Raw genomic sequence first — 27,528 nt, 5'->3', positions numbered from 1 at the left:
TGGAAGAATGATACTGGAAACAGTGAGCCAACTCTGTGATGTAAGCCTCTCAGCAGGGAGATCTGTGCAATTCATGCATTACAAATGCACAATCAGGGAGCTTTCTCATGACAAAAAGGAATCAAATCCTGTCTATTATTGAGAAGTCCTCCTTTAGGTGAGCAGCAAAGCGCAGGCAGCTTTGCAAAGCAGCAGCATGCTGTTAGCAAGGTCTGGAAGGTCACACCTCTGGATAGGATGTTTATCATGATACAAACATATAAACTAACACCATGGATAAGCAATTGATTCTTCAAAGAAGAGCCTTTCTCATGAAAATCCTGAAATAATATATGGAGTTTAGGGGGAATGAACAGAACTGCAAGCGGATATAAGCTCTTCCATCTTGCCAGTTTTCCCTTATGTAATAATTTCCTTCTATTGACATAAGGAATAATGTTTCATAGCCTACTGCTTTTCCTCCCCAAGCCGCACTGCACTTTTGCAATGCCAGGAAACTCTAATCAGTACACTCTGCCCTCTGGTGTCCACACTCAAAAAGCACATCACCCTGTTTTTTTCCCTCCAACATTAGCATGTGTACCAGGCACGTGGATGAAAATGATTAGCTACTAGGGGGATTGTATTTGTTTGCTTAAAACTGTTGATTTTTCTGTTTTCAAGGGATCGAGATTTTAGACTAATTTAGCTGCATTTTTCCCTTGTATCACAGAGGGAAGTTGAAGAAAGAAGAAAGCCCCCTCTCTTTTCCCCAGCAGTAAGACAACGGTGTCCTCTTTTACTCTCATTTGAAGACATCCTAGAACATAACTTATGTGAAGGCTTAGTATAAAATACGGGCACAAACAGGATCCAACATAATAAAATGTTTTTAGCGGAGAAAAATGATATCTGGCATTTGTTTCAAATCATAGTGGTAGTGAAATGGATGAAACGAGATTGCCGAAGCCTTGATAATTATACAGCTGGGTCATGGGTACAACTGGCTTATCGCCTAATTCCCTCCACTTTTCCGTATGTTTGGAAATTTCCAGGAATCAAGTTTTTCCCCATCTTAGTCTGATGCAGACTGAGCTACTATGTCTGAAGGATAAAGATGTGACATTCTAACATGTGAACCAGGGCAGTGGAAGGAATACGGCTTTAGAAATCAGAAACACGTGAATTCTCACCCCGCTTCGAACTCTTGCTGACTGCAAGGCCTTCGGAGGGTCACTCCATCTCTCTTCATCTAAGCTAGTTTCCATATTTGTAAAATGAGAATAATGAAACCTCCCACACAAGGTTATTCCAGGGATAAAGAAAGAGAAAATGCCTGGCACACAGAAGGCAAATGACGTAGCTTCCCTTTCTCCTTTTTCCAGCAGCCCTCAGATAAATAAATCCCAATGGTCAAAAAAATACAACCAGTATGAATAACTCATTAGGAATAACCCTGGCAAACCCTGATTGAGACGTTTTGTTTGCTCTATTTCAGTCTTTCATGGTGAAATTCATCATAACATCATTCCACCTTTATCAGCAAAAAACAAATAAAATAGCATGCATGCACATACATGATAAGCTACTATTTCATACTATATGTTGTCTTGATTGGTTTTATATTCAAGCGTTCCTGCTCAATAACACTGATGTATCTCAGGCCTCTATTATTTCAAAGAGGATGGATTAAAGGCAATATGAAAGAACAGCTATTCATGCCATACTATCTTTATATAATACAGTTCATCTGGCAATTTCCAGAGTTTGGCCCATGGGTAATTCACTTATTGGGAATGGTTTGAGTGAACACTACAAATACAGTTTCCCATACCTTCAATTAACCAAATGATGTGAAGAATTATCTGTGCTAATTTAAATTTTCTGTTAAACTAAGCATTAAACAGAGGGCCGTCTTTGTTTACAGTGGATTTTAATGAAGGAAACTGACTTAGCTATTTTCCTTAAGAATTTTGCATGACCTCATTAATTAATTATGTCATTCAGGAAAAAAAAATCTTAGAGAAGCAAATATAGAAGCTGATGGAAAATTTGACAGCATGTATATTAGAGGCAAGCCTTTTGCCTATTAGCATGTCATCTAACTGATCACATAAAACACTTAAAATTTGTCAGGACCTTTTAAAAATGAACAAAAATGTCATAAAATAATAGATGCATCACAACTATCTTCTGAGAAATAAATGCATTTATTTGTCTCACTTTTTAAAGGAGAAAATCAAACCGAGGCTTAAGGTTTTCTTCCATATAATTAATTTGTGACCGAGCCAGGATTCAGAGCCAGGTGGTCTGACTGCCTAAGAAGCTCTTTCTGCCACTCACACCCTGCCAATCTCTGTACACAGTGAACGACACAGTCCACAATTACCTGATACCTCGGTATGGAGCTCTAGGGAAACTTTCTTCTCTTTTGCTGCCTTACCTAAATTCCTGATAGTACACAGTGAACGGCACAGTCCACAATTACCTGATACCTCGGTGTGGGGATCATTGCATATGAGAAACTGTTGTGTTTTGTTTTGAGACGGAGTCTCGCTCTATTGCCCAGACTGGAGTGCAGTGGCACAATCTCGGCTCACTGCAAACTCCGCCTCCCGGGTTCACGCCATTCTCCTGCCTCAGCCTCCCGAGTAGCTGGGACTACAGGCGCCCACCATCACACCCGGCTAATTTTTCGCATTTTTAGTAGAGACGGGGTTTCACTGTGTTAGCCAAGATGGCCTGAAATCTCCTAACCTCGTGATCCGCCCGCCTCGGCCTCCCAAAGTGCTGGGATTAGGGACGTGAGCCACTGCGCACGGCCCCATAGTTCTTTTTTTAAGTTGTCCAAATAATTGGGCATTTTGCAAAGCTACCTTTAAGAAGATGCCACTTGAAGGAGGAATAAACACTGACTTGATTAATTCATCTAACTCTATCAGACACAGGAACACTGATTTGTTATTAAATGAAGTATCATCAAAAGAAGATAAATAACCAATGGTCCATGACAACCTAGCTCTCAGTCAGGTTTAAATTTTTGAAAAAACAAAATACTGTGCTTAATTCCAAATAAGAATAAAAAATATAAATAATGGGCCAAAGACTTTTAAAACTATAATTTGAACATTCTCAAAAATTATACTTTATTTTCAGACTCTGGAGTCCACAGTTTAACTCTTGAAAAGTAGTCACTAGAGCATGCTTGTATCAAAACATCTTATGTACCCCATAAATATATACTAGGTGCCCAAAAAATAAAAAAATTAAAAACTTTAATAAAAAGAAAAATAGCCACCAGAAAACACTCTTCATTGAATTAGTCCTCTTAATTGATTTTTTGACTTCTATATTTTATTTCTAAGTCGATATGTTTTAAAAATAATGATTATGCAGGCTTTCCATTCAGAATATGGAAATCATCTGGAATTTGGTTTTAGGGGACTCTCTCTTGACCCAGCCGTGCCCTTCACTATTTTACAGTCCAATTATCTTCCTCCCACGGGGGCTGGAGCCCTGTGCATTACTTATGGGACAGGCTCTTAGATGTGTGGCATTGACATCTTTGTGGCTGGGTTTTTATCTGTCTCATAAAAGAGGTGTGTGCATGCCTGTGTCTGTGTCTGTGTCTGTGTGCATTTGTGTAAGTGCACGGGAGATCAAACCTCAATGTAATCTGACAATTCTCATAGGTTAATTTCCAATCATCAGACTTTAAAGCAGTGAATTAAGCCTCTGGTGGCCCAGTTTACTAAATTTCCAACAGTTAACATCTAGTCTCCAAGTGTCCTTCAGACCTAAGACCCGCCCGGGCGCCGAGGCTGATCCCGTGGGCACCTGTTTGTGGGCTTAGCGGCATCTCTGCTTCTGGCCTTTATCCCCCCACCTGACACTCAGCAGCTGCTGTCTGGGAAGAGGAGGGCCTGTGCAGCAGCCCGGAAGAAACCCCCACACTCATCCCCCTGTGCTACGTGCCTCGGGTTCGTGTTAATCCGACTTTGGTCACCTCAGCCTCAACCACACCTGTGCTCCTGCCAAAGCCACCCTCCCTGCAGACACCAGCTGCCCTCCAAGGCCGGGGCCACTGGGCCCTTTCCCAATTCAGGTTACTTGTCTGCTATGAGCCTGCCTTTTTTGCTTTCTTAGAGGTAGCTTTCTCCTGGATTCTAACAGCATCTTCTTCCCATCCTTTTTTCCAGGCCTTCCCTGAGGCCAGAAGCCTGTAAACATGGGAGTCACCCAGCTTGTTCTCCAGCCCTCTCCTCTTATTACACTGCCCATTGCTTCTGGGTAATCTCTCAATTCTTATTACTCCAAGAATCAACAATAGAATAATAACCTCAAAATACAAACACCTCCACCACAGGATTGCTGTGTCAAGCCGATGCCTCCTCCCACAGTGGCCTGTGTTCAGCACAAATGTTGACACCCCTAAGGACATGCTGCAGCTGCCCCTTCCCTGCTAACCTCTCCTTTCCCAACTAAGCCATTGCCAAATTCTGTTCGTTTCATTCAACTTCAAACGAGTCTCTTGCCAGGCACGGTGACTCATGCCTGTAATCCCAGTACTTTGGGAGACCGAGGTGGGAGGACTGCTTGAGCCCAGGAGTTTGAGACCAGGCTGGGCAACATAGGAAGACTCAATCTTTATCAAAAAAACAAACAAACAAACAAACAAAAAAAAAACAAAAAAAAACCTTGAGTGGGTGTGGTGGCATGCACTTGACAGGCTGAGGCAGGAAGATCGCTTGAGCCCAGGAGTTCGAGGTTGCAGTGAGCTATGATCATACCACTACACTGCAGCCTGGGTGGCAGAGCCAGATCTCACTGCAACCAATAAAACAAACAAAAACTCTTACACTGCTCTCCTTCTTTCCAGCAACATTACTGCTTTTTGGAAAATACTGAAATGGAAGCAGAAAAACAGAAATCTCACGTGTCTGCTTCCAATTTTCAAATGACTCCCCATGACCTTAAAAAAAGTCATCTGAGGCCTGAGCCCCATGCAAAAGCCCCATGGTGCCCTGCCCATCTCCGAGGGTCATTCTGAATGGCTTTGCCCCACATGCACGAGTCTCCAGGCCCACATACCTCCCTGAATACTCTGACCTCTCCCTGATGCTGCTGCTTCTCTGATAACCATGGGGTTGTTGCCTCCACCTGAGATAGCTTTCTCCTCCTTCTCAAGGTTATCTCCCATTAACTCTTCAAGAATCATCCTAATCATCGAATCTCCCAGAAAACTCTCCCTGACACCCTTGAAGCTGAATGAAGTGTCCCTCCTCTCGCTCCCATGGGCTCCTTTGCATTTTCTCAGATAACAATAAGATAAGGTGATGTGTTTGACTTGAAGGCAAGGACTGCTTTATTTATGCAGTACCATGTATTGAAGCCCTAGTACTTGTGAAACGATTAATATATAGGTTTAAAAAAACTAATCAATGTGTCTTCCTATTAGTTATTGGATATAAATTTCTTACCATGTGCCTCCAGCCCTGTGCTGCCCAATATGGTAGCCACTAGCCCCATGTGGCTGGCTATTTAAATTTAAAATAGATGAAGGTTAAATAAAATTTAAAATTGAGTTCCTCAATCTCACAGGCCTCATTCCAAGCACTCAACAGCCATATGGGGCAAGTGGCTATTGGATTGGATGGTATAGATAGACAGCCTTTCTGTCACCAGAGAGTGCTAACCAACTGCACTATTCTAGACTCTTCATGGGACAGACCCAGCTCATTTATTTGCTCACATGCCTGTCTCTCCCCAGACTGACACTCAAAAGCATTTCTGTATCCCATGGTGTCAGCCTTGCATCAGGCCATGGTTGGTATCGAGTAAAAGTTTGTCATAGATGAATGAATAAAATCTTTATTGTACAATATCCACTATGATTTATCTTCCCTGTTCAGGAAGGTGACCTTGCCCTTTTACATGAGACTCTCACTTTCTTCGCTCCTACTCTTGTCTCTGCCAAACTCTAGCACCCTTGAAGGTCCTGCTCAGGAGCCCCTTCCCATGCACCCCTCCCACCACTTAAGCTGCCTCACTCACTCCATTCGCAATGGCAGTTTCCCATGTGAATGCCTGCAGGGCCCCTCAGCTTGGTGGGTGTTCTTCGTGGCATAGAGCACATGCGTGTTAACCTGGCTCCAGGGCACAACAGCAGAGGGCTCTGTTCAGTAGGGACAAGTCCATTTAATTGCAATGTGGCATCATTGTAAAAAAATCTGAGGCTGGGCACAGTGACTCACACCTATAATCCCAACACTTTGGGAGGCCAAGGCAGGCAGATCACCTGAGGCCAGGAGTTCAACACCAGCCTGGCCAACATAGTGAAACCCCATCTCTACTAAGAATACAAAAATTAGCCAGGCATGCTGGTGTGTGCCTGTAATCCCAGCTACTCAGGAGGCTGAGGCAGGAGAATCACTTGAACCTGAGAGGCAGAGGTTACAGTGAGCTGAGTTTGTATCACTGCACTCCAGCCTGGGTAACAGAGAGAGACTCTGTCCCAAATTAAAAAAAAAAAAGTAAAAAAAAAAAAAAACAAATCTGAACCTAGCCGTGGCTGATATTTCAGTAGTCACAGAAGTATGAAGGTGAGGCTTAGAAGAATGTGAGGGTCTCCAACAGGAAAAATTATGGGTATTCTGGGACTGCTTAAGGCCAGTGGGATACCAAGGCGGCTTCTTAGGAGGATAAAACAACTCACCTCCTGAAGCCCTCATGCAGGCCAGTCAGAAGACATCCTTGGCCCCCAGGAACTTGCCCCATTCCCTGAGGAAAACCCAGTCCCTGAGGAAAACCTGAGTCCAACTCAGGGCCTCTATGCCACTGATGTCCGTGGAACACAGGACTCAGGCTTCTCCAAGGAGCTCTAGGGGCTGGGTGACAGGCAGGTGTATTTATACCATTGGCCTGGTCCTAATTTGTGCCTTTTGCCATTATACCTTGATGGACAATTTGCTTACAATTTCTGCTCTCGGGGGCGGGGGTACTAAGGCCATGGTGTAACTGCTTAGGTAGTAGTATTCAGTAGGGCCTGGCCTGTGCACCCGGCCAGTGAGGACAGCAAAGAGGACAGAGCTCCACTTCACTGCTGGTTGTGTTTTCCTTGGGCCCTTCCTGTTTTGTTCTTACTGGGGGGAATGCTGGAATGGAATGTGGGCACTCAGGCTGTATTGTTTTCACCCTGTATGGCAGCCAGTGATGGGAGGTGTCCCTGCTTGCTCCCAGGGCCCTCAAAGAGTGATGGGAGGTGTCCCTGCTTGCTCCCAGGGCCCTCAAAGAGTGATGGGAGGTGTCCCTGCTTGCTCCCAGGGCCCTCACAGCCTTGCCCCTTCTTCCGGTCTATTTCATCTCTGCCTTGTTGGAGCTGGTTTAAGTGGCAGTGATGTCTGTCCTTCCAGCTGCTGCTCATCACAAGCAGCTATGATTACAGGTAAGATAGTGACAATGGTGAGGATGGTGTGTCATGATAATGCTATGGAAATTCAGATGCAGGAACAGTCACCCATTTAGGGAGTTGAGACAGGTAGATGAGGTTGCTGCTTTGGAGGTGACAGCATTAGAATGGGACCTGAAAGGAGGGGTGCATTTTGAGAGGAAGCTCTTGTAAGGAAAAGGCATTTGAGGAGGAGACGCTGCAAGGTCTGCAGAACCACTTTGTCCTAATGGAGATTCCCTCCCTGGCCAGTCCTGTTCCTGTCTGTGCAACGCGCTTGCGGTGCAGGCTCTGACAACACAACTGACTCCAAGTGGCTGGGCCATGTGACCAGTGCTGGATCAACCAGAAACCCTGAATGAGATTTCACATGTAGACCCTGGGAGAGAGCATGCCTCTGTCTTCCTCTCTCGTTAGGAACTGTAAAACTTCATGAGCTTAGAGCAGAAACTACCTTTGCTATCTGCTTGAGATTAACACCCACAGAGAAAAGTAAATCTGAGAGTTAGGGACACAGATAGAAAGAGTTTTGGGAACATCATGTCAGCACCACATCCCAGATAAGACTGAAGTCCCACAGCCTCTGGTCTTCAGTTCTAAAGAACAATAGGTTACTTTAGTAGAGGTAGTGGTTTGCTATACAATTTGAGCCTTTTTTTTCTCTGTAGGTCATTGTGGAATGTGTCTATCACTGAGAGCTGAAAGAAAACTGACCAAGACAAGTTCAATGGCCATGAATTGAACCATGAGCAAATGTCCAGAGGTGGGAAGGCATGGGGTGGATTCCAGGCACTTGACGCTGCCCAGCTTGCTGATGTGCAAAAGGTCCTGCTGGAGACTCACAGAAGAGTGTAGCAGGGAAGAGCTCTGGTCAGATGGCAGGACGGGCCAGTGCAATGATTGCGAGGGCCCCAACAATCAAGACCAGGAGGTGCTGCTGTGTGGTGAGCACATTGTCAGCCTGAACGGGGAGCGGGACAGAGGTGTATGGGGGTACAGGGTAGATGAGTGTCCCCTCCCTGCAGCAGGGCTCTGTTTGTCCTACCATTGAACAACTCAGTGGCTTTTCCCCACTCTGATCAGCCCAGGACTCTGCTTGCTAGCTGGGTTGCAATAACTCCTGGACCCTTTTCTTCTCAAACCAATTATCTCTTCCTGGGCTTTGCGTTTGCTCTAGGGCTCTTCTCATTCTTGGATGCTCTAGCTGTGCTCTGTCCCTGGAGGCTTCCCGAGACTCAGGAGTATCAGCTCCTGACATGATTCTCCTTCACTGTCTTTTTTATTAGGGTTTCATGCAGACTATCATGCACTTGCCGTCGGAAGATTTGAACTTTCTTCTAGGACACCTAATATCCACAGTCCTCCAGGTGGGTCCTAAGGATCTGAGGATCCACGACGGGGGTCCTAAGCCGGGGGGGAAGAGGGGCTGGCTCTCAGTCCCCACCTCACGGGAGGTGCCTCCCCCCGCTGGGATGGGGGTCCTAAGCGCCAGAGGGGGAAGAGGGAGTGGCTCTCAGTCCCTGCCTCGTGGGGGGTGCCTCCCTCACTGCGATGGGGGTACTATCAGCCAGAGGCGGAAGAGGGGATAGCTCTCAGTCCCCACCCTCGCGGGGGGTGCCTCCCCCTCCTGCGATGGGGGTCTTAAGAGCCAGGGGGGGAAGAGGGAATGGCTCTCAGTCCCTGCCTCGCGGGAGGTGCCTCCCCCCCTTGCGATGGGGGTACCAACAGCCAGGGGCGGAAGAGGGGATAGCTCTCAGTCCCCACCCTCGTGGGGGGTGCCACACCCTCCTGCAATGGGGTTCCTAAGAGCCAGAGGGAGAAGAGGGACTGGCTCTCAGTCCCCGCCTCATGGGGGGTCCCTCCCCCCTCTGCGATGGGGGTCCTAAGAGCCAGTGGGGGAATAGGGGCTGGCTCTCAGTCCCTGCCTCGCGGGGGGGTGCCTCCCCAACCCTGCGATGGGGGTACTAACAGCCAGGGGCGGAAAAGGGGATAGCTCTCAGTCCCCACTCTCGTGGGGGGTGCCTCCCCCCCTGCGATGGGGGTACTAACAGCCAGGGGCGGAAGAGGGGATAGCTCTCAGTCCCCACTCTCGTGGGGGGTGCCTCCCCCTCCTGTGATGGGGTTCCTCAGAGCCAGGGGGGGAAGAGGGACTGGCTCTCAGTAATTCCACGTAAGGTACCTGCCGTCGGAAGATTTGAAATTTCTACCTGGACAACTAACACCCACAGTCCTCCAGGTGGGTCCTAAGGATCTTAGGATCAACGATGGGGGTCCTAAGCTGGGGGAGGAAGAGGGTCTGGCTCGCAGTCCCCGCCTCGCGGGGGGTGCCTCCCCCCTCTGCGATGGGGGTCCTAAGAGCCAGTGGGGGAACCAGGGGTTGGCTCTCAGTCCCTGCCTCGCGGAGGGTGCCTCCCCCCCCCTACGATGGGGGTACCAACAGCCAGGTGCGGAAGAGAGGATAGCTCTCAGTCCCCACCCTCGCGGGGGGTGCCTCCCCCTCCTGCGATGGGGGTCCTAAGAGCCAGTGGGGGAACCAGGGGTTGGCTCTCAGTCCCTGCCTAGCGGAGGGTGCCTCCCCCCCCTGCGATGGGGGTACCAAAAGCCAGGGGCGGAAGAGGGGATAGCTCTCAGTCCCCACCCTCGCGGGGGGTGCCTCCCCCTCCTGCGATGGGGGTCCTAAGAGCCAGTGGGGGAACCAGGGGTTGGCTCTCAGTCCCTGCCTAGCGGAGGGTGCCTCCCCCCCCTGCGATGGGGGTACCAAAAGCCAGGGGCGGAAGAGGGGATAGCTCTCAGTCCCCACCCTCGCGGGGGGTGCCTCCCCCTCCTGCGATGGGGGTCCTCAGAGCCGGGGGGGAAGAGGGACTGGCTCTCAGTAATCCCACGTAAGGTACCTGCCGTCAGAAGATTTGAACTTTCTACTTGGACACCTAACACCCGCAGTCCTCCAGGTGGGTCCTAAGGATCTTAGGATCAACGATGTGGGTCCTAAGCCGGTGGGGGATGAGGGTCTGGCTCTCAGTCCCCGCCTCGCGGGGGGTGCGTCCCCCCTCTGCGATGGGGGTCCTAAGAGCCAGTGGGGGAACCAGGGGCTGGCTGTCAGTCCCTGCCTCGCGGGGGGTGCCTCCCCCCCCCTGCGATGGGGGTACCAACAGCCAGGGGCGGAAGAGGGGATAGCTCTCAGTCCCCACCCTCGCAGGGTTGCCTCCCCCTCCTGCGATGGGGGTCCTCAGAGCCAGGGGGGGAAGAGGGATTGCCTCTCAGTCCCTGCCTCGCGGGGGGTGCCTCCGCCCCCAGCGATGGGGATCCTAAGAGCAAAGGGGGGAAGAGGGGCTCGCTCTCAGTCCCCGCGTCGCGAGGGGTGCCTCCCTCCCTGCGATGGGGGTGCAAAGAGCCAGGGGAGGAAAGGGGGAGGTTCGCAGTCCCCGCCTCGCGGGGATTGCCTCCCCCCCTGCGATGGTGGTCCCAAGAGCCAGGGGGGGAAGAGGGGTTGGCTCTGAGTCCCCGCCTCGCAGCGGGTGCCTCCCCCCCCTGTGATGGGAGTCCCAAGAGCCAGGGGGGAAGAGGGGATGGATCTCAGCCATCACAAAATGGGGGGCCTTTATGTTCAGGTTTTGCCCAAGAATCAGCTTATTTGCTTCTTGTACTAGCAGGGCAGTTGCTGCCAAGGCCCTCTAATAGGGGGGCCATCCTTTAGCAACCCTGTCTAGTTGTTTAGAGATGTAGGCTACCGGCCTCAGCCAGGGCCCCACAGTTTGGGTTAAAAGTCCAGCTGCCATCTTTTCTCTCTCTGACGCATACAATGGAAAAGGCTTTGTCAGATCGGGTAGCCCCAGGGCTGGGGCTGCCAGAAGATTTTCTTGTAACTCATGAAAAACTTGCTGTTGTTGGGATCCCCATTTCAAAAGTTCCGGGTCCCCGCCCCCTTTGTGACCTCATACAAAGGCTTGGCTAATACTGCAGTTTGGGATCCACAGTCTACAAAACCCCACAGCTCCTAAGAATTCTCTCACCTGCCTTCTGCCCTTAATTTCCGGTAGATTGCAAATAACCTGCTTTCTTTCTGTTCCCGAGCTGCGTTCGGACCCGTCGGATCGTAAATCCCACATAAGGTACCTGCCGTCAGAAGATTTGAACTCTCTACTTGGACACCTAATACCCACAGTCCTCCAGGTGGGTCCTAAGGATCTTAACATCAACGATGGGGGTCCTATGCCAGTGGGGGAAGAGGGTCTGGCTCTCAGTCCCCGCCTCGTGGGGGGTGCCTCCCCACTCTGTGATGTGGGTCCTAAGAGCCAGTGGGGGAACAGGGGCTGGCTCTCAGTCCCTGCCTCATGGGGGGTGCGTCCCCCTCCTGTGATGGGCGTCCTAAGAGCCAGGGGGGGAAGAGGGACTGGCTCTCAGTCCCTGCCTCGCGGGGGGTGCCTCCCCCCCTGCGATGGGGGTACTAACAGCCAGGGGCGGAAGAGGGGATAGCTCTCAGTCGCCACTCTCGTGGGGGGTGCCTCCCCCTCCTGCGATGGGGGTCCTCAGAGCCAGGGGGGGGAAGAGGGACTGGCTCTCAGTAATCCCACGTAAGGTACCTGCCGTCGGAAGATTTGAACTTTCTACTTGGACACCTAACACCCGCAGTCCTCCAGGTGGGTCCTAAGGATCTTAGGATCAACGATGGAGGTCCTAAGCCAGAGGGGGAAGAGGGTCTGGCTCGCAGTCCCCGCCTCGCGGGGGGTGCCTCCCCCCTCTGCGATGGGGGTCCTAAGAGCCAGTGGGGGAACCAGGGGCTGGCTCTCAGTCCCTGCCTCGCGGGGGGTGCCTCCCCCTCCTGCGATGGGGGTCCTAAGAGCCAGGGGGGGAAGAGGGATTGCCTCTCAGTCCCTGCCTCGCGGGGGGTGCCTCCGCCCCCAGCGATGGGGATCCTAAGAGCAAAGGGGGGAAGAGGGGCTCGCTCTCAGTCCCCGTGTCGTGAGGGGTGCCTCCCCCCCTGCGATGGGGGTGCAAAGAGCCAGGGGAGGAAAGGTGGAGGTTTGCAGTCCCGCCTCGGGAGGATTGCCTCCCCCCCTGCGATGGTGGTCCCAAGAGCCAGGGGGGGAAGAGGGGTTGGCTCTGAGTCCCCGCCTCGCGGGGGGTGCCTCCCCTCCCGCGATGCGGGTCCCAACAGCCAGGGGGGAAGAGGGGATGGATCTCAGCCATCACAAAATGGGGGCCCTTTATGTTCAGGTTTTGCCCAAGAATGAGCTTATTTGCTTCTTGTACTAGCAGGGCAGTTGCTGCCAAGGCCGTCAAATAGGGGGGCCATCCTTTAGCAACCCTGTCTAGTTGTTTAGAGACGTAGGCTACGGGCCTCAGCCAGGGCCCCACAGTTTGGGTTAAAAGTCCAGCTGCCATCTTTTCTCTCTCTGACGCATACAATGGAAAAGGCTTTGTCAGATCGGGTAGCCCCAGGGCTGGGGCTGTCAGAAGATTTTCTTGTAACTCATGAAAAACTTGCTGTTGTTGGGATCCCCATTTCAAAAGTTCCGGGTCCCCGCCCCCTTTGTGACCTCATACAAAGGCTTTGCTCATACTGCAGTTTGGGATCCACAGTCTACAAAACCCCACAGCTCCTAAGAATTCTCTCACCTGCCTTCTGCCCTTAAGCTCCGGTAGATTGCAAATAACCTGCTTTCTTTCTGTTCCCGAGCTGCGTTCGGACCCGTCGGATCGTAAATCCCATGTAAGGTACCTGCCGTCGGAAGATTTGATCTTTCTACTTGGACACCTAATACCCACAGTCCTCCAGGTGGGTCCTAAGGATCTTAGGATCAACGATGGGGGCCCTAAGCCAGGGGGGGAAGAGGGTCTGGCTCTCAGTCCCCGCCTCAAGGGGGGTGCCTCCCCCCTCTGCGATGGGTGTCCTAAGAGCCAGTGGGGGAACAGGGGCAGGCTCTCAGTCCCTACCTCGCGGGGGGTGCCTCCCCCACCCTGCGATGGGGGTATTAACAGCCAGGGGCGGAAGAGGGGATAGCTCTCAGTCCCCACCCTCGTGGGGGGTGCCACACCCTCCTGCGATGGGGTTCCTAAGAGCCAGAGGGGGAAGAGGGACTGGCTCTCAGTCCCCGCCTCGTGGGGGGTCCCTCCCCCCTCTGCGATGGGGGTCCTAAGAGCCAGTGGGGGAACAGAGGCTGGCTCTCAGTCCCTGCCTCGCGGGGGGGTGCCTCCCCCACCCTGCGATGGGGGTACTAACAGCCAGGGGCGGAAGAGGGGATAGCTCTCAGTCCCCACTCTCGTAGGGGGTGCCTCCCCACCTGCGATGGGGGTACTAACAGCCAGGGGCGGAAGAGGGGATAGCTCTCAGTCCCCACTGTCGTGGGGGGTGCCTCCCCCTCCTGTGATGGGGTTCCTCAGAGCCGGGGGGGAAGAGGGACTGGCTCTCAGTAATCCCACGTAAGGTACCTGCCGTCGGAAGATTTGAACTTTCTACTTGGACACCTACCACCCGCAGTCCTCCAGGTGGGTCCTAAGGATCTTAGGATCAACGATGTGGGTCCTAAGCTGGGGGGGGAAGAGGGTCTGGCTCTCAGTCCCCGCCTCGCGGGGGGTGCGTCCCCCCTCTGCGATGGGGGTCCTAAGAGCCAGTGGGGGAACCAGGGGTTGGCTCTCAGTCCCTGCCTCGCGGAGGGTGCCTCCCCCCCCCTACGATGGGGGTACCAACAGCCAGGTGCGGAAGAGAGGATAGCTCTCAGTCCCCACCCTCGCGGGGTTGCCTCCCCCTCCTGCGATGGGGGTCCTCAGAGCCAGGGGGGGAAGAGGGACTGGCTCTCAGTCCCTGCCTCGCGGGGGGTGCCTCCGCCCCCAGCGATGGGGATCCTAAGAGCAAAGGGGGGAAGAGGGGCTCGCTCTCAGTCCCCGCATCACGAGGGGTGCCTCCCCCCCTGCGATGGGGGTGCAAAGAGCCAGGGGAGGAAAGGGGGAGGTTCGCAGTCCCCGCCTCGCGGGGATTGCCTCCCCCCCTGCGATGGTGGTCCCAAGAGCCAGGGGGGGGAAGAGGGGTTGGCTCTGAGTCCCCGCCTCATGGGGGATGCCTCCCTCCACCCGCAATGGGAGTCCCAAGAGTCAGGGGGGAAGAGGGGATGGATCTCAGCCATCACAAAATGGGGGGCCTTTATGTTCAGGTTTTGCCCAAGAATCAGCTTATTTGCTTCTTGTACTAGCAGGGCAGTTGCTGCCAAGGCCCTCAAATAGGGGGGCCATTCTTTAGCAACCCTGTCTAGTTGTTTAGAGACGTAGGCTACCGGCCTCAGCCAGGGCCCCACAGTTTGGGTTAAAAGTCCAGCTGCCATCTTTTCTCTCTCTGACGCATACAATGGAAAAGGCTTTGTCAGATCGGGTAGCCCCAGGGCTGGGGCTGCCAGAAGATTTTCTTATAACTAATGAAAGACTTGCTGTTGTCGGGATCCCCATTTCAAAGGTTCCGGGTCCCCGCCCCCTTTGTGACCTCATACAAAGGCTTGGCTAATACTGCAACGTTTGGGATCCACAGCCTACAAAACCCCACAGCTCCTAAGAATTCTCTCACCTGCCTTCTGCCCTTAAGCTCCGGTAGATTGCAAATAACCTGCTTTCTTTCTGTTCCTGAGCTGCGTTCGGACCCCTGTCGTATTGTAAATCCCACGCAAGGTACCTGCCGTCGGAAGATTTGAGCTTTCTTCTTGAACACCTCATACCCACAGTCCTCCAGGTGGGTCCTAAGGATCTTAGGATCCCCGATGGGCGTCCTAAGCCAGTGGGGGAAGAGGGGCTGGCTCTCAGTCCCCGCCTCGCGGGGGGTGTCTCCCCACCCTGTGATGGGGGTCACAAGAGCCAGAGGGGGAAGAGGGGCTGGCTCTCAACCACCACGAAATGGGAGGCCTTTATGTTCAGGTTTTGCCCAAGAGTCAGCTTTTTTGCTTCTTGTACTAGCTGGGCAGTTGCTGCCAAGGCCCTCAAACAGGGTGGCCATCCTTTAGAAACAGTAATATTATTAGTAACAGCAGCAGCATGTATTCACTGGGCACTTCTCAGTACCTGGCCTCATGGCTCCCACTTTGTAGGGGCCACTGGGATCAAGAGAGGGCAACATTGCAACTCTCCATGCTCCTGCAATATCCATAGCTATTCTGTAGGTGAGTACACCAAGCACTGGTCCTATTGGTGATGAGAGTAATGGGATCAAATAGACAGTTGAAAGATTTAGACTTTTTCTCATTTATCAGGAAAATCATGTGAAACTTAAAAAATTTTAAATTACAGTTGAAACAGAAGAAAAGTAATAGAGTATAAAAACATATTTGTAGAGGGAAGCTAGTTAAGAAATCGTAAAGTTGATAGATCCCAAGGACACATTAACAGAATGTTGACATTATACCAATGAAAAACCAAGGTGGAGGAAAAAAATGGGTTGGTTGCCGAAGACATAGCGGATGATGAAATTGGCCCTTCCAAGGCTGGTGGACATCATGGGTGGTGATTTGCCCATCTATCCCAGTTTTAACCAATTTGCTGCTTTAAAATCCTGTTGTCATCACATTTGTATTGCTAAGAAGCCACGTGTCACTGAAAATGAAGGATACAGGAACACACTGTATAACCTTAAAAAAACTACTGCTCTAATGGTACAGAAGGCCTCCAAAGCCCTTTAAAAAACTAAAAAGAAATGTTCAAGCAGGCGGATGACAAAGTTCAGTATTTTAAAATTAGCCACAGTTAATCCAAATGAAAGTTAATACATTCCACTAAAAGTCACTTCCAGCAACAATTCCTTTAAGAGTCAACTTATTTTTAAACCTACACAATGAATTTTAAATCAGAAGGGCTATTGATTCCTCAGAGGAGTTGCCCAAGTAATTGACTTTATATTTAAATAAATCTAAGATTTACAAGGAAGTGGATAGAGAAGACCCTCTGGTTTTATTTCTATTTTGAAGTCAGACTTTGCATGTTAGTACTGACCCACCCAAAACAGGCTTTCCTGTGGAGCCACACAGTTGGGAAGTCCCTTTGTTGCCTGTGTAGTTTGTGCATTTAGACCATGCATTATTAATTCTAGCCATTCTATCTCCGCATTTTATTTCTCTGTGTTAGCCTTGTTAGACTACCATAAATTTTATTTGGGTTGTGGCTGGGTAATTGCCCATTCTCAGTCATGCTCAGGCATGTAGGTGTACACACATGCACAGAAGCCAAGAACTATATTTCTCAATTTCCAGACAGAAGGACAACAGGTACAAAGTCCTAAGGATTATAAAGGTATGCTGCTTGCCATCATCTTAGTGACCAAGGCAGCGAAGCTGTTTCTGTACCTTGGAACAGTCTTCCCTGACAAGCCAGAGAACAGCGATAAAGCCACCAGCCTTGGGATCAGGACTGAAAAGGCAAGAGTGATGGAGATTTCTCCTGCGCTAAGCCAAGAGAAGGTTTCAGCACCTCAGACAGCTCCCACCGAAGTAGCGGCGCTCCCAGCTGCTTGCAGATGTGGAAAAGGAAAGCCTCGGTTTGTCTTGAGGTTGTCAGCAGTTGCAAGACACGTAATAAAATGCAATGTGTTCCTAATTCATTGCATATCCTCAGCTTTAAATTTGGGTAGCAAAATGATTACTCTAGATTCTTCAGCCTTGCCTTGGCAAGTATCTGTACCTAAAAAGCAGTTTTTCTACCTAATCTCTTTTTTTGTTTTTGTTTTTCAATACACTTTAAGCAAATTGAAGCTTTTGTTCCTGGAGGAAAAGTGGTTTGATATGTTCATCTATCTTTTAGTAAATTTGGGGGCATAACTTTTCCTATTCTGAGGAACTTTTCTAAGAAGAGTGCATAAAAGTTTGTTGTTGTTTTTAAAGGATGCAACATTCAGCCTGTGTCATGAGTTTAATTATACAATTTAAAGGACATATGTGCAATGCATTTTGCAGATGTGTGCCAGATATATATGTGCAGATAATGGGCAAGTATATATGTGTGCATATATATATCGGGAGTACACTATATAAACACACAATACACGCCCACCCACACACATTGTGTATTTTCCAGAAAAAAAAAAAAAAAGCATGTCAGGACTTACATCTAAGTTAGAGATGCTGTTTAGAACCCCATTAACAAATGTACATGTTATATCCCTGATTTGTTTCTCAGGACACCTGTGTTTATCTGAGAATCATTTCTAGACACATGTCACAATAAAAAGAAGGACATGTATACTCCAAGTTAAGATTTTTTTAAAAAAAGATGGAGATCATCTGAAATAAAATTCAGAGCTCTTGCCTTTCCTTTCTCCTAGCGACACCTAGAGCCTGTTGAGAAAAAAACTGCACATTGTTCTCATTCCAAACATCCACAATTCAACAATTTTAAGTCAGATTTAAGGTAAAAAGTACATTTTTCCTGTTTGCATTGCAGCTTAACTGTCTTCCCCAAGATTCTCGGTAGTTTAATCCTCCAGAACTCTTCACCCTCCCCCAATTAAACCATTTGCCAAAGACTTGAACCAGATGACTGAAGGATCTGTCTATTTCCCTCAGGGCTTGGCCCACCAAAGTGAGGGACATGCCTTTGAATGACTATTTAACCAGGGGAGTCTGGAAACGATGCAGGAGAAAATCACAAAACCTCATGCAAAATCTGACGCAGGGCTGTAGGGGGTGTGTACCTGTGTGTGTGCAAACCACATCTCCCACAAAGTTTTGTGATCTCCATTAAAGTTTCCACATCCTTCATTCATAAAACAAAAACTACCAATAACAACAGCAAAACCTCACTGATTTCATAGTATCTGGCAATTAGGAATTGTCCCTGGGAAATCACTCAATGTCTCACCCCTCCCTCGACCCAAACACAACTCTTGCACTAAAGAAATACGAAACAGGGAACCAGCGTGGCTGGAGGCTGCAGAGAGGTAATGACCAAAACCACCTACTCAGTGCCCGGCAATGTACTGCCCTGGGTATGTCAGGGTAGACTAAGTGAGAGGCCGGTGGGACCCCTGCGGTTCCCAGGTTGAGCAGTTGTGAAACTCCTCAAAGGCATACATAGTAATTTCTACAAACCAACACAGCCTAGCTGTTATAAGAGCTGTACCAGCCAAGCCAGACCTGTTTCTCTGAGAGCCTGTCGGGGATTTTTCTCTTTTCCCTGGGAAAAGAAGGCCTCAAAGAAAAAGCACAGTTTCCTCCCTTCTAAGTCCTAGCAGCCCTCTGCATCCTTGAAAGGGATCCACAGGAGGTGGTTAAACGCATCCATCTAAGGTCCGGCTCCTGTCCTGCATGAGTCATTGGTTACTAGGGCGATGTGCAAATCCAACCTTTGAAACCCAGGCTTCCAGCCCCCATGAAGAGTAGGAAATGTGCTCTCGGAGAAGTTTTCACTGAACACGGTCTAAGGCAGAGGTGCTAGTCCAGGGCTGGGAGGGGAGACAGACACGGCCTGAGGGCTCTCAGCAAAAGAGCTGGGCCCTGGGACAGAGGGTTGGGGCTCAGATGCCAGTATTTTGGTATTTTTTTTTTCCGGAAAGGATAATCACCATCACCACCGCTGGGGGGAAAAAGTGTCTAGGAGAAGTAAGAAGAGGAACGAAGGAGAGGCATTTGAGTCAAGGGACAGAGTGAGTAGGAGAGGAGGGGCACGATGGAGAGATTCCAGACACAGGTGGGAGGGAGAGAAGGTGCCTGAGGCTGTGTTCCCGGAGCACGAAATAAATAAAAAATAAACCAACTCGTAAGCACAGGCCGATCGAATTCTCTCCTTAGGAACCATAGCAGCATGCTGTTAAAAACAGACATCCGCGCACCCAGGGAACGTAAGGCGAATTCCAGATCCCAGCAGGCGCAGTACCCAAACCCCGCTCTCTCCAGCCACCAACTCCCGGCCGCCGCGGCTGCAGACACAGACCCGCTCCCTCCGGGACGCGGTGACCGCGATCTGGCGCCACGGAGCCTGTCTGGGGGCGCCCGGAGAGTCGTGGGCGGGGGGAGGGCGCCTGATTCCCCCCCCAAAAAAAATTTCCCCTGCCGACGCGTCTCGCTGCGCGCTCAGCCCGGAGAACCCGCCGCCGCCCCCCGCCCCCGAGAAGCTCTTACGTCCTCCTCGTCACCATCGCTCCGCGCCTGGTACTGGAACCGGGGCCGGCCACCCGCGCCGCCGCCGCCGCCGCCGCGCTCCCGGGGCGCCGCCGCCTGCGCCCGCGGGCCGAGGGGCTTGGCTCCTGCGCCGCCGTCCTCCTCGGGCCCCTGGCCGCCCAGGAGGTGACTCGCCTCCGGGGGCGCGGGGAAGGACCTCGAGGTGTTGATCTTGCCAGTGAACCTCTGGTACAGCGAAGCCATCGGGCACCGCGCTCCTGCTGGCTGTCTTTGGGGCTTTTTAATATTTTGCTTTCTCTCCGGTTCCCACTCCCCACCCCGCTCCAGATTAAAAAAAAAAAAAGGCGGTGGGGAGGCAGCAGCAGCAGCAGCAGCAAGGCAAGCCCAGCGCCGGCGGCCGCTCCTCCCGCGCGCCACTCGCGAGTCTCCGCTGGCGACTCTGCCTGGCTCAGCCTCCTCCGCCCCCTCCCCGGCGGCTCGCGAAGCCGGGGCTCTGGCTGTGCTTTCTCTCTTTCCTGTTTTTATAATTTTTTTCCCCAACTCCTTGCCACAGCCACGTACGGCCTAATCAAAGAGATTGAAGGAAGAAAAAAAACCAAAAACATAAAGCGAGGGAAATGCCTAGGCCCCAGAATTTGGCACCACCTAGAGACCGGCACACATTCCGAGCGCTCTCCTCGCTCCCCGCCCCCAGGCCCCTCGCGCAGCTCCTCCTCCACCCCGGCCCCTCCGCCCCCTTCCCCACCGGCCTCCTCCCCGCGCCCGGGACTGGCACCTGGGTGGCAGGGGTTGGCAGCCCGGAGAGGGCACGGGGTCGCACAAAAGGGTGCGAGGGTGCGTGAAGAGGGTGGAGGGGCTGGGACCACGCGGGTCGTGGGTGCGGGGGCGGTGGGGGAGTCCCGGGAGCTCAGGGTGCTGCGGCCCCACCGAAGGTAGTGCTGCGAGTGCCCCGCAGCACGCGAGCGGACGGTGCAAGGGGATGCGGAGGTCGAGGCAGGCAGGCCGGCCAGGGGGCGACTGAAGGTGCAGCCGGCCCCGGGGCGCCCCAGCCACGCACGCGCTGCGGCGCCGGGCTCCCCGCGCCCCCAGCTCCTCTTGCCTAACTTGAAGCAACACCAGAGACACCCCGAGGACCTGGGGTGCGAATGGGGCGTGGGAGAGCCACCAGGAGGGCGCGGGGTGGTCGGACGACGCTGGTGAAGAGGCCGCCCTCCCTCCACAGCCCAGCTCCCTCCGAAACCGCCCCTTCCCTTCGCCTCTCTCCGGAGGAGGGCAGGAAAGGTCGCGGGGCGGCAGAGGACGCCCAGAGGCCCAGGCGCCCCTCGCGGGCGATGCGCCCCGCAGAGAGCCCGGCTGTGACCGCGACTCCATTCTCATTATCATGAACGCAGGCGGAGGCTCGGCTCTCCGGCTGCCCGCAACTTTTCCAAAGCCTGCGCCTCACTGTGCCCGCCGAGAGCGAGGGAGGGCGACATGGCTCCACTCGCCGCGCGCTCTCGGGCTTGCCTCCTGCCCAGCCGCAGGAAGGCGCGCTCCAGCGCCCCTGTGTGGACACCCGCACCAGCGGGCTCCGCTCCTCCGCTCCAGGCCCGGCCTGGCTTCTCTTCCCCTCCCGGCCCTCCCGCGTCCTCCCCGGCTCCCTTCTGCACTCCTCTCCGTCCTTCTGGAGTTGCTGGGCACGCGTCTCTCTCGTCTCGTCCCCACGTCCTCCTTGCGCGCCCCTTCCAGCCCTTCCCGGCCGGGAAGGACCTATCACATCCAGAGAGTGAACGTGGGCCGGGAAACCCCAACTCCAGAGGGGGGAACCTGTGAGACCCGACCCTGCCCATTCCGCCGCCTCCTTCCACATGGAGGTAGGGCGTTGGCTTCATCTCCCAGGACTGCCTAAGGCTCCCTGCTCCTTCCGGGTTTCCATGCCTGTTTCCACTTAGGGTTTCAAAATAACAGCCTCGGCTGCCACTCACAAGGCTGACTGCAGGCTCGCCCCCAGCCCTGGCATTGCCCCAAGCCCAGAGAGAGGCCTGCCTGGGCCTGAAACTGCATGCTCCCTCTGTTTCCCTAACTGCGGGGGAGAATACTGGATGCCGGTGAACAAGTCTCCTGGGAAGAGACCTCCTTCAGTCCCTTCCACCTGCCTCCCTTCCCCAAGCTTTCAATCCAGTGTGTAGTTTTTGGTTTAACCAAAATTTGTACCACGCTCATCTTCTGTTTACTCCACAGTAGTTACCCTTTACTATGAAGAAACATGAGTTTAAAAACACTTTAAAAAATAGCAAATACAAAACCAAGTAAAACCAGGATTGCAACAGCTAAGCGAAACTTGCTGCATGGGAGAGGCCAGGCAGGTGGGTCTGGGGTGGGGAGAGCTTCAGCTGCTCCATTTGACTTTGAAGACAGAGGCAACAGAGCCATAAAACTAAACTTTAAAAGTCACCACAATTAGATAGATAGAAAACCTTGCTCTCAACCCCCTCCTCTGCCCCAGCTGTGCTTTTGATGGGAGGAAGCTGCCTCTCCTAACATGGACATGAAAGAAAGCTCATGCTATTCACCGCAGCATCGCGATCCTGACATTTCACTAAATATAGATGCAGTTAGGGTCCCACTTATGTAATATACATACGCTATCTATGAAATATGCATGCATATTTTTACACAAACTAAATGTCATACTAATATAGTTTATACAAAATACAATGATAGATGTGTGCATATTAATCATAGATAGAATACTATTGGGATAAAGCATATGTGCCACTTTTAAAAACTATATTCTCAAGGCATTGTAGGTAACTGTAATCTAACTAAAGTTTAAAATCTCAATTAAATTATCTAAGAAAATATGATAAGCGATTTCTGCTTAAAATTATAAAATGAAATCACCATAAAACTCATAAGCAACAGGGGAAAGAGTTGAAGTAAAAATTTGTGCTGGGAAGCAAATCTCACAATTAAGCAGAAGAAACGGAGGGCAGGAAAGAGCGAGCGTCTGAAAGATGCAGGTGTGAAAGGAGCCGGAATGCTGGGGAGGACTGGAAACAGCATGGATGAACACGAGGATGTTCCTCAAGGATGATCCAGATGGAGCGCCCTTTACCCAAATTGAAAAGCGCTTGGCTATACTCTTGCACCTTGCACACTGAACGCGGTGCTTCTAGGGACATTTTAAAGAATGTTCTGGCCGGGCGCGGTGGCTCACGCCTGTAATCCCAGCACTTTGGGAGGCAGAAGCGGGTGGATCACGAGGTGAGGAGATTGAGACCATCCTGGCCAACATGGTGAAACCCCATCTCCACTAAAAATACAAAAATTAGCCAGGTGTGATGGTGGCGCCTGTAGTCCCAGCTACTCAGGAGGCTGAGACAGGAGAATTGCTTGAACCCGGGAGGCGGAGGTTGCAATGAGCCGAGATCGCGCCACTGCATTCTAGCCTGGCGACAGAGCACGACTCCATCTCTAAATAAATAAATAAATAAATAAATGTTCTATACCTCGTGTGTATGTGCATGCACGTTTATGCACCCACACATCCAAATTTGTGTTAAGCACGGATACACACATTGCAGTCGAGGGTGTGAGGACACTGTGGTCCCACATATAAAAAAATAAAGTGGTTAGTATGTTAGAATAAGTGAAGTGATACAATTTTAAAGACTGGCAAGCTATGGCATGTTATGTTTATGATGTATAATTAATTCAATTCTTGTCTCTAATCACCTTTCACCTCCCCTTATCCACACACACACACACACACACACAAACAAGGAAAAAGATACCCCGAAGAGGAGCAAAAGTACCCAATGGGCATTTCAAAATAGGTGTAGTGGTTCGGAAGGAAACATGTCAATATTTCCCTCTACTCAATTTCTCCTTGAACGCCTGAAGTACACTGTGGCGATGAAGCAGATTTTTATTCCTACTTATTGGGTAAGTGTGAGAAAATATTTTTGAAAATATTTTGCAAATTATTTAATGTCGAGTTTAATTCTTCCATGCTGCTCCAAACCAAATGCCCCCAACCCATTTTTCTATCTAGTTTCATATGATTAGTGCTTCCCTATTTATTACAAAGGTGTGGGTGTGTGTTTATTTTCCCTAGAACAAATTTACAAAACAAATATAAGTCATTGGGATTAGGCAGATGCTGCAAAATATGTTGGATAGTCATTTTTAAAATGACAATGAAGGCAAATTTTTGGTCTACCTGCAAGCTAAGCATTGTAGGAATAACAAAAGTACATCCATTGAGTTTAGCAGCCTAAGCATGATTTTTATTAGCTAAGAGGTTTTCTTATTTCTGAGAGAATTATATCCTGTAGTTGACTTCCCTTTTCTCTGGGTGCTGAGGGAGGACAGAACCATATTTAAGACTGTTTTTTCTTTTCCAAATACTAATATTTGAAGAAATGAAATGGCTAAGTTAGCATACTCTGAAGGAAGGTCTTCCCTAAAACAGTGGGCATCACTGTCTTTTACATATTATCAGCTTGAACTCATAAACGGGGAGAAATTTTAAAAAATCTGGGTAGCTTGAGAAAACACAATGCTAAATGCATAAATAGAAGGCATATTCTCCACTCTGAAAATCTGTTTCTCACTCTCTATCTCTCAAAGCATGTTTGGTTTCTTGTTTCCGTTTTTGTTTTTTGCAAGAGAACTCTCCACTAGGGGCTGGGTAGTAAGACCTTTTACACACCTTCAAACAGGAAATATCCAGGACACACACACATACACACACACACAATAATTGCTATTTCAGGCTTTTGAAAAACAGAGTTAAAGTATGAATTGGGTCAATTTGGGCTTTTCAACTTAATACTTAAAAATTATGTTTTATGTAAAATCATTTGTTGTAACCCAATAAATAGCCTTTCTCTAACATCAGTAAAGTTAAGCTTCAATCTCCCAATAGCACATGTCTCTGCATTTTAGCCCTACCATTGTGTCACTGCTTGGATCTTACACAGTTCAAAACATACGTACAACTAACTACACTAGTGTCATGTACACAAACACAGTGGTTGATTAACACGAGTGTTAAGGTTTATCGCCAGGTGAGCTGCACAAGCTTTTGATCCTACGCAAATGGCTGGTGCCAACCTCATCCCATGTTTTCTCTGTGGCCCCTCGGAGGGCTGCTCACAACCTTACCACCTTCCTCTAGGATTCTCCCCTAGTTCTTCATCTTGCCTTTCTACATTGAACCATAATCGACTCTTCTCCTCCCACTTTCTAACTACCTTTCTTCACTTCTGTTGTCTTGCCTTCATGCATGTCCCTTCTCTGGATCAATATCTGTAGGCTATACGTAGAATATATATTATTTTCTCTAAAACTTCCTTGCTGCCCTCTGAATATTTATCAAATCTTGCCTTGTGCTACCAACATTGCCTCAGAAATTATCCAAATAATCACCTCTCACCCTGGAGGAGGCACGAACTCCTGTCATTTCCTATTTTCTGGTGACACAATGATCGTTTCCACAGTGCTTCCCAAGGCTCTTAGGTTTTTGGAGCATGGGGTATAGAAGACTCTCTTCTCTTTCTGTTTGTCCCTGGTGATCATTTGACCATAACCATGTTGTTCTCCAAAACGTCTTAGTTCATAGATCAAACTGTATTAGATTAAACGAGATATGACTTCTGCTCCAAAGTGCCCCTAGAGCGCCTTGCCCTTTTCAAACCACACACTTCTTAGGGTCAGGTGAATTAAGTTAAATATGATTCCCTTCAATGTTAAAGTGATAGGAATGAGTCTCTGCACTTCAGTGCTTTAATTTTGTAACCAGGAGAGGTGATGGTTGCATTCAGAAAGAAGAGAAAGCTTGTGTCTGTTCTCTCTGCTGACCACTGGCATGCCTTGTGAAGGACCAAGTCCTGCTTGCGGTATGGTCAGCCTTAGAACTGACTGTGAGCCACAGGGAACAAGGGCTTACACTGTCTTCTGGGGACATTGGCATCAGCCCAGAGGCATTCTCAGGCTTTGACTTCAAAGCAACAGCAAAACCAAAATGGATAAAGATAGGGTCAGTCAAATGCAACGTCTTTTCCTGACAGCAAAACAAACAGAGCCAGTGTCAACTCAATAAATCCTGCCACGTAAATTGGTACTCTCCTGCAGGCTAATAGAAACAGTTACAGAGAGTGGAAAACTTGACTTCACTAAAAATTACTGCAGTTACAAATAAAGGAAGGGGGTATAGTGTATTTCTAAAATGTGCATCTGGACTAAGATTTAGGGAGGGTTGAGTGTGAGCACAACTTAATTCACCCCCGAAAGAGAAGGCTTGTCGGCCAGAAATAACAAAATAAGAAAAGCCCAGCAAGTTGGCCCCCAGGTCCAAGTACTGCAGATTCCAGTGTATCTTTCCATCTCTTCTTCCAACAACACAATGACTGTGAAACATAAGGAGGGAAGAGGAAAGAGTCTTCCTTTACGTGACAAACCCCCTTTTCAGATGTTCAGTGGGACAGTCTGAGTAGCAGCATCTTCTTTCAAGAGCATAATATAGCGGAGCATGTGATTGCATTTCCAACCTATAAATATCCAGCTCCTGAACACTCATCTTTGAGTTCTAAATGGAATAAGCCATTATTGCCATATTGTAAACTGTAACAGACTGGAATGTTGTTCAGCAAATACTACTCTCCACCCCATGCCCCCTGCAGGGAAGCATCTTAACCTGTCCCCTGACACCTACTGCCACCCTGACTTTGAGACTGGTCATGTGACTTACTTGGACTAATGGGATGTGCGTGGACATGATGCAGGCAGAGGCCTTGCAGCTGCTTGCATACCCTAGCTGGCTTCTGCACTCTGATGATCCACCATACAAAAACATGTCCCTATTAACAGCCGATGCTTTAGCCTGGCCCCAGAACAAACACACTTGGAGAAGACCTCAATACAACCCACAGCCTGGGGCTAAGCCAGATAATTGGGGAGCACAAAGCAGAGTCTCTTAGCCGAGCCCAGTGTAGACCAGCTGAATCACAGTTAACCAGCAGAAATGTGGGTCTTGAAATAAATACTTGTTGGGTAAGTCACTGAGGATAATTGGTTAAACAGCATGCTTGTGTCATTAAAGCCAAATCAATGCATGAAAAAATGGCATGGTCAAGTCCATGCTTCTTGTAGGCATTTCACTTATTCAGTTAACACCTGAGCACTGACTATGTGCCATTCATTGCGCTACGTTCTAAGGATGAAATCATGAACTACAGTGAACTTGCTTTCATGCAGATGATCATCAGTACTCCTCAAAGTGAAGCAAGACTGATACTACAAATTATCCGACTGATAATGCTTTACTTTTGTGAATAGATGCCGTTTTCTCAATTTCTTGCTCCTTTTGGTACATTTGGAGCACTGCTAGTCTTACTACAAAAGGACTGTTAGAAACCACTAGCTTGCAAATGTGTTCACAATAAAGCTGTGATTTATTTATTATAGCAGCACCAAGTAGCATTTTTAATCTACTCATACAGTGGCTTTCAAAGAGTTGTTTCTGGACCAACAGCGAAAGCATCATTCAGGGACTTGTTGGAAATGCAGATTCGTGGGCCCTGTCTCAGACCAGCTGAAACTCAGGGCTGGGGCCGGGCAAGCTGCATTTAACAAGCTCTCCAGATGATTCTGATGCATGCACAAGTCTGAGAACCACTGCACTAGAGCAATGTACTAGAGCAATTTTCTTCACGGCACCAAGGTGACCTGGAAGATTTCTCAAATGTTTGCTCAGGTCTCAGATAACAGCTTATACATTTAAAGGATTGGACAAGGATTCTCCTAAGGGTAAGGATTTTTCAAGAATAAAAAAAAGAAACCATTTAAATGAGGGAGGGAGTGTTTTTTTTTTTTTTATCTTTTCTAAGACTTTATTCAGAATCAAAAAAGAATGCAGTCCATTTAGTCTTTGCAGGACATTTTCAGATGCTGTTTCGCCCTTGAACTGATGTTTAAGTTTCATGTCAGGAAGAAGGTAGAAATCAAAAGGGAATTGTCAAAGCAAAGGCAAAG

General features: G+C 49.8%; 1 protein-coding gene and 1 long non-coding RNA gene across 11 annotated transcripts in view, besides 1 other annotated feature; one reads left to right on the top strand and one right to left on the bottom strand.

The window, feature by feature from the left end:
• DPP6 (dipeptidyl peptidase like 6) overlaps positions 1 to 27,528 on the bottom strand; it is a 1,146,153-nt gene that overhangs the window by 821,713 nt on the left and 296,912 nt on the right. For 2 of the 10 annotated variants that reach the window (NM_130797.4, NM_001290253.2), the window contains exon 1: positions 19,510 to 20,175. The exons of the other annotated variants lie outside the window; for them this stretch is intronic. In NM_130797.4, coding sequence (NP_570629.2) covers positions 19,510 to 19,752 — 243 coding nt within the window. In that variant the 5' untranslated portion in view covers positions 19,753 to 20,175. Of the gene's footprint in view, positions 1 to 19,509; positions 20,176 to 27,528 lie in introns of those variants that run through there. 10 annotated transcript variants of the gene reach the window in all.
• LOC101929998 (uncharacterized) lies at positions 12,003 to 16,988 on the top strand. Its single transcript, NR_136254.1, has 4 exons — positions 12,003 to 12,063; positions 15,040 to 15,140; positions 15,493 to 15,564; positions 16,648 to 16,988. It is a non-coding gene; the product is annotated as an uncharacterized LOC101929998 (long non-coding RNA).
• Positions 20,682 to 21,284: an enhancer, noted in NCBI's record as "H3K4me1 hESC enhancer chr7:153748374-153748976 (GRCh37/hg19 assembly coordinates)". NCBI's record gives its function as "activates a minimal SCP1, AML or CMV promoter by ChIP-STARR-seq in naive H9 embryonic stem cells {active_cell/tissue: H9 hESC(naive)}" and the evidence as "EXISTENCE:reporter gene assay evidence [ECO:0000049][PMID:30033119]".

This window comes from Homo sapiens, chromosome 7, assembly GCF_000001405.40.
Source record: "Homo sapiens chromosome 7, GRCh38.p14 Primary Assembly".
Classification (NCBI taxonomy): domain Eukaryota; kingdom Metazoa; phylum Chordata; class Mammalia; order Primates; family Hominidae; genus Homo; species Homo sapiens.
The sequence above is the reverse complement of the archived record's forward strand: the minus strand, read 5'-3'. Positions and strand labels throughout refer to the sequence as shown.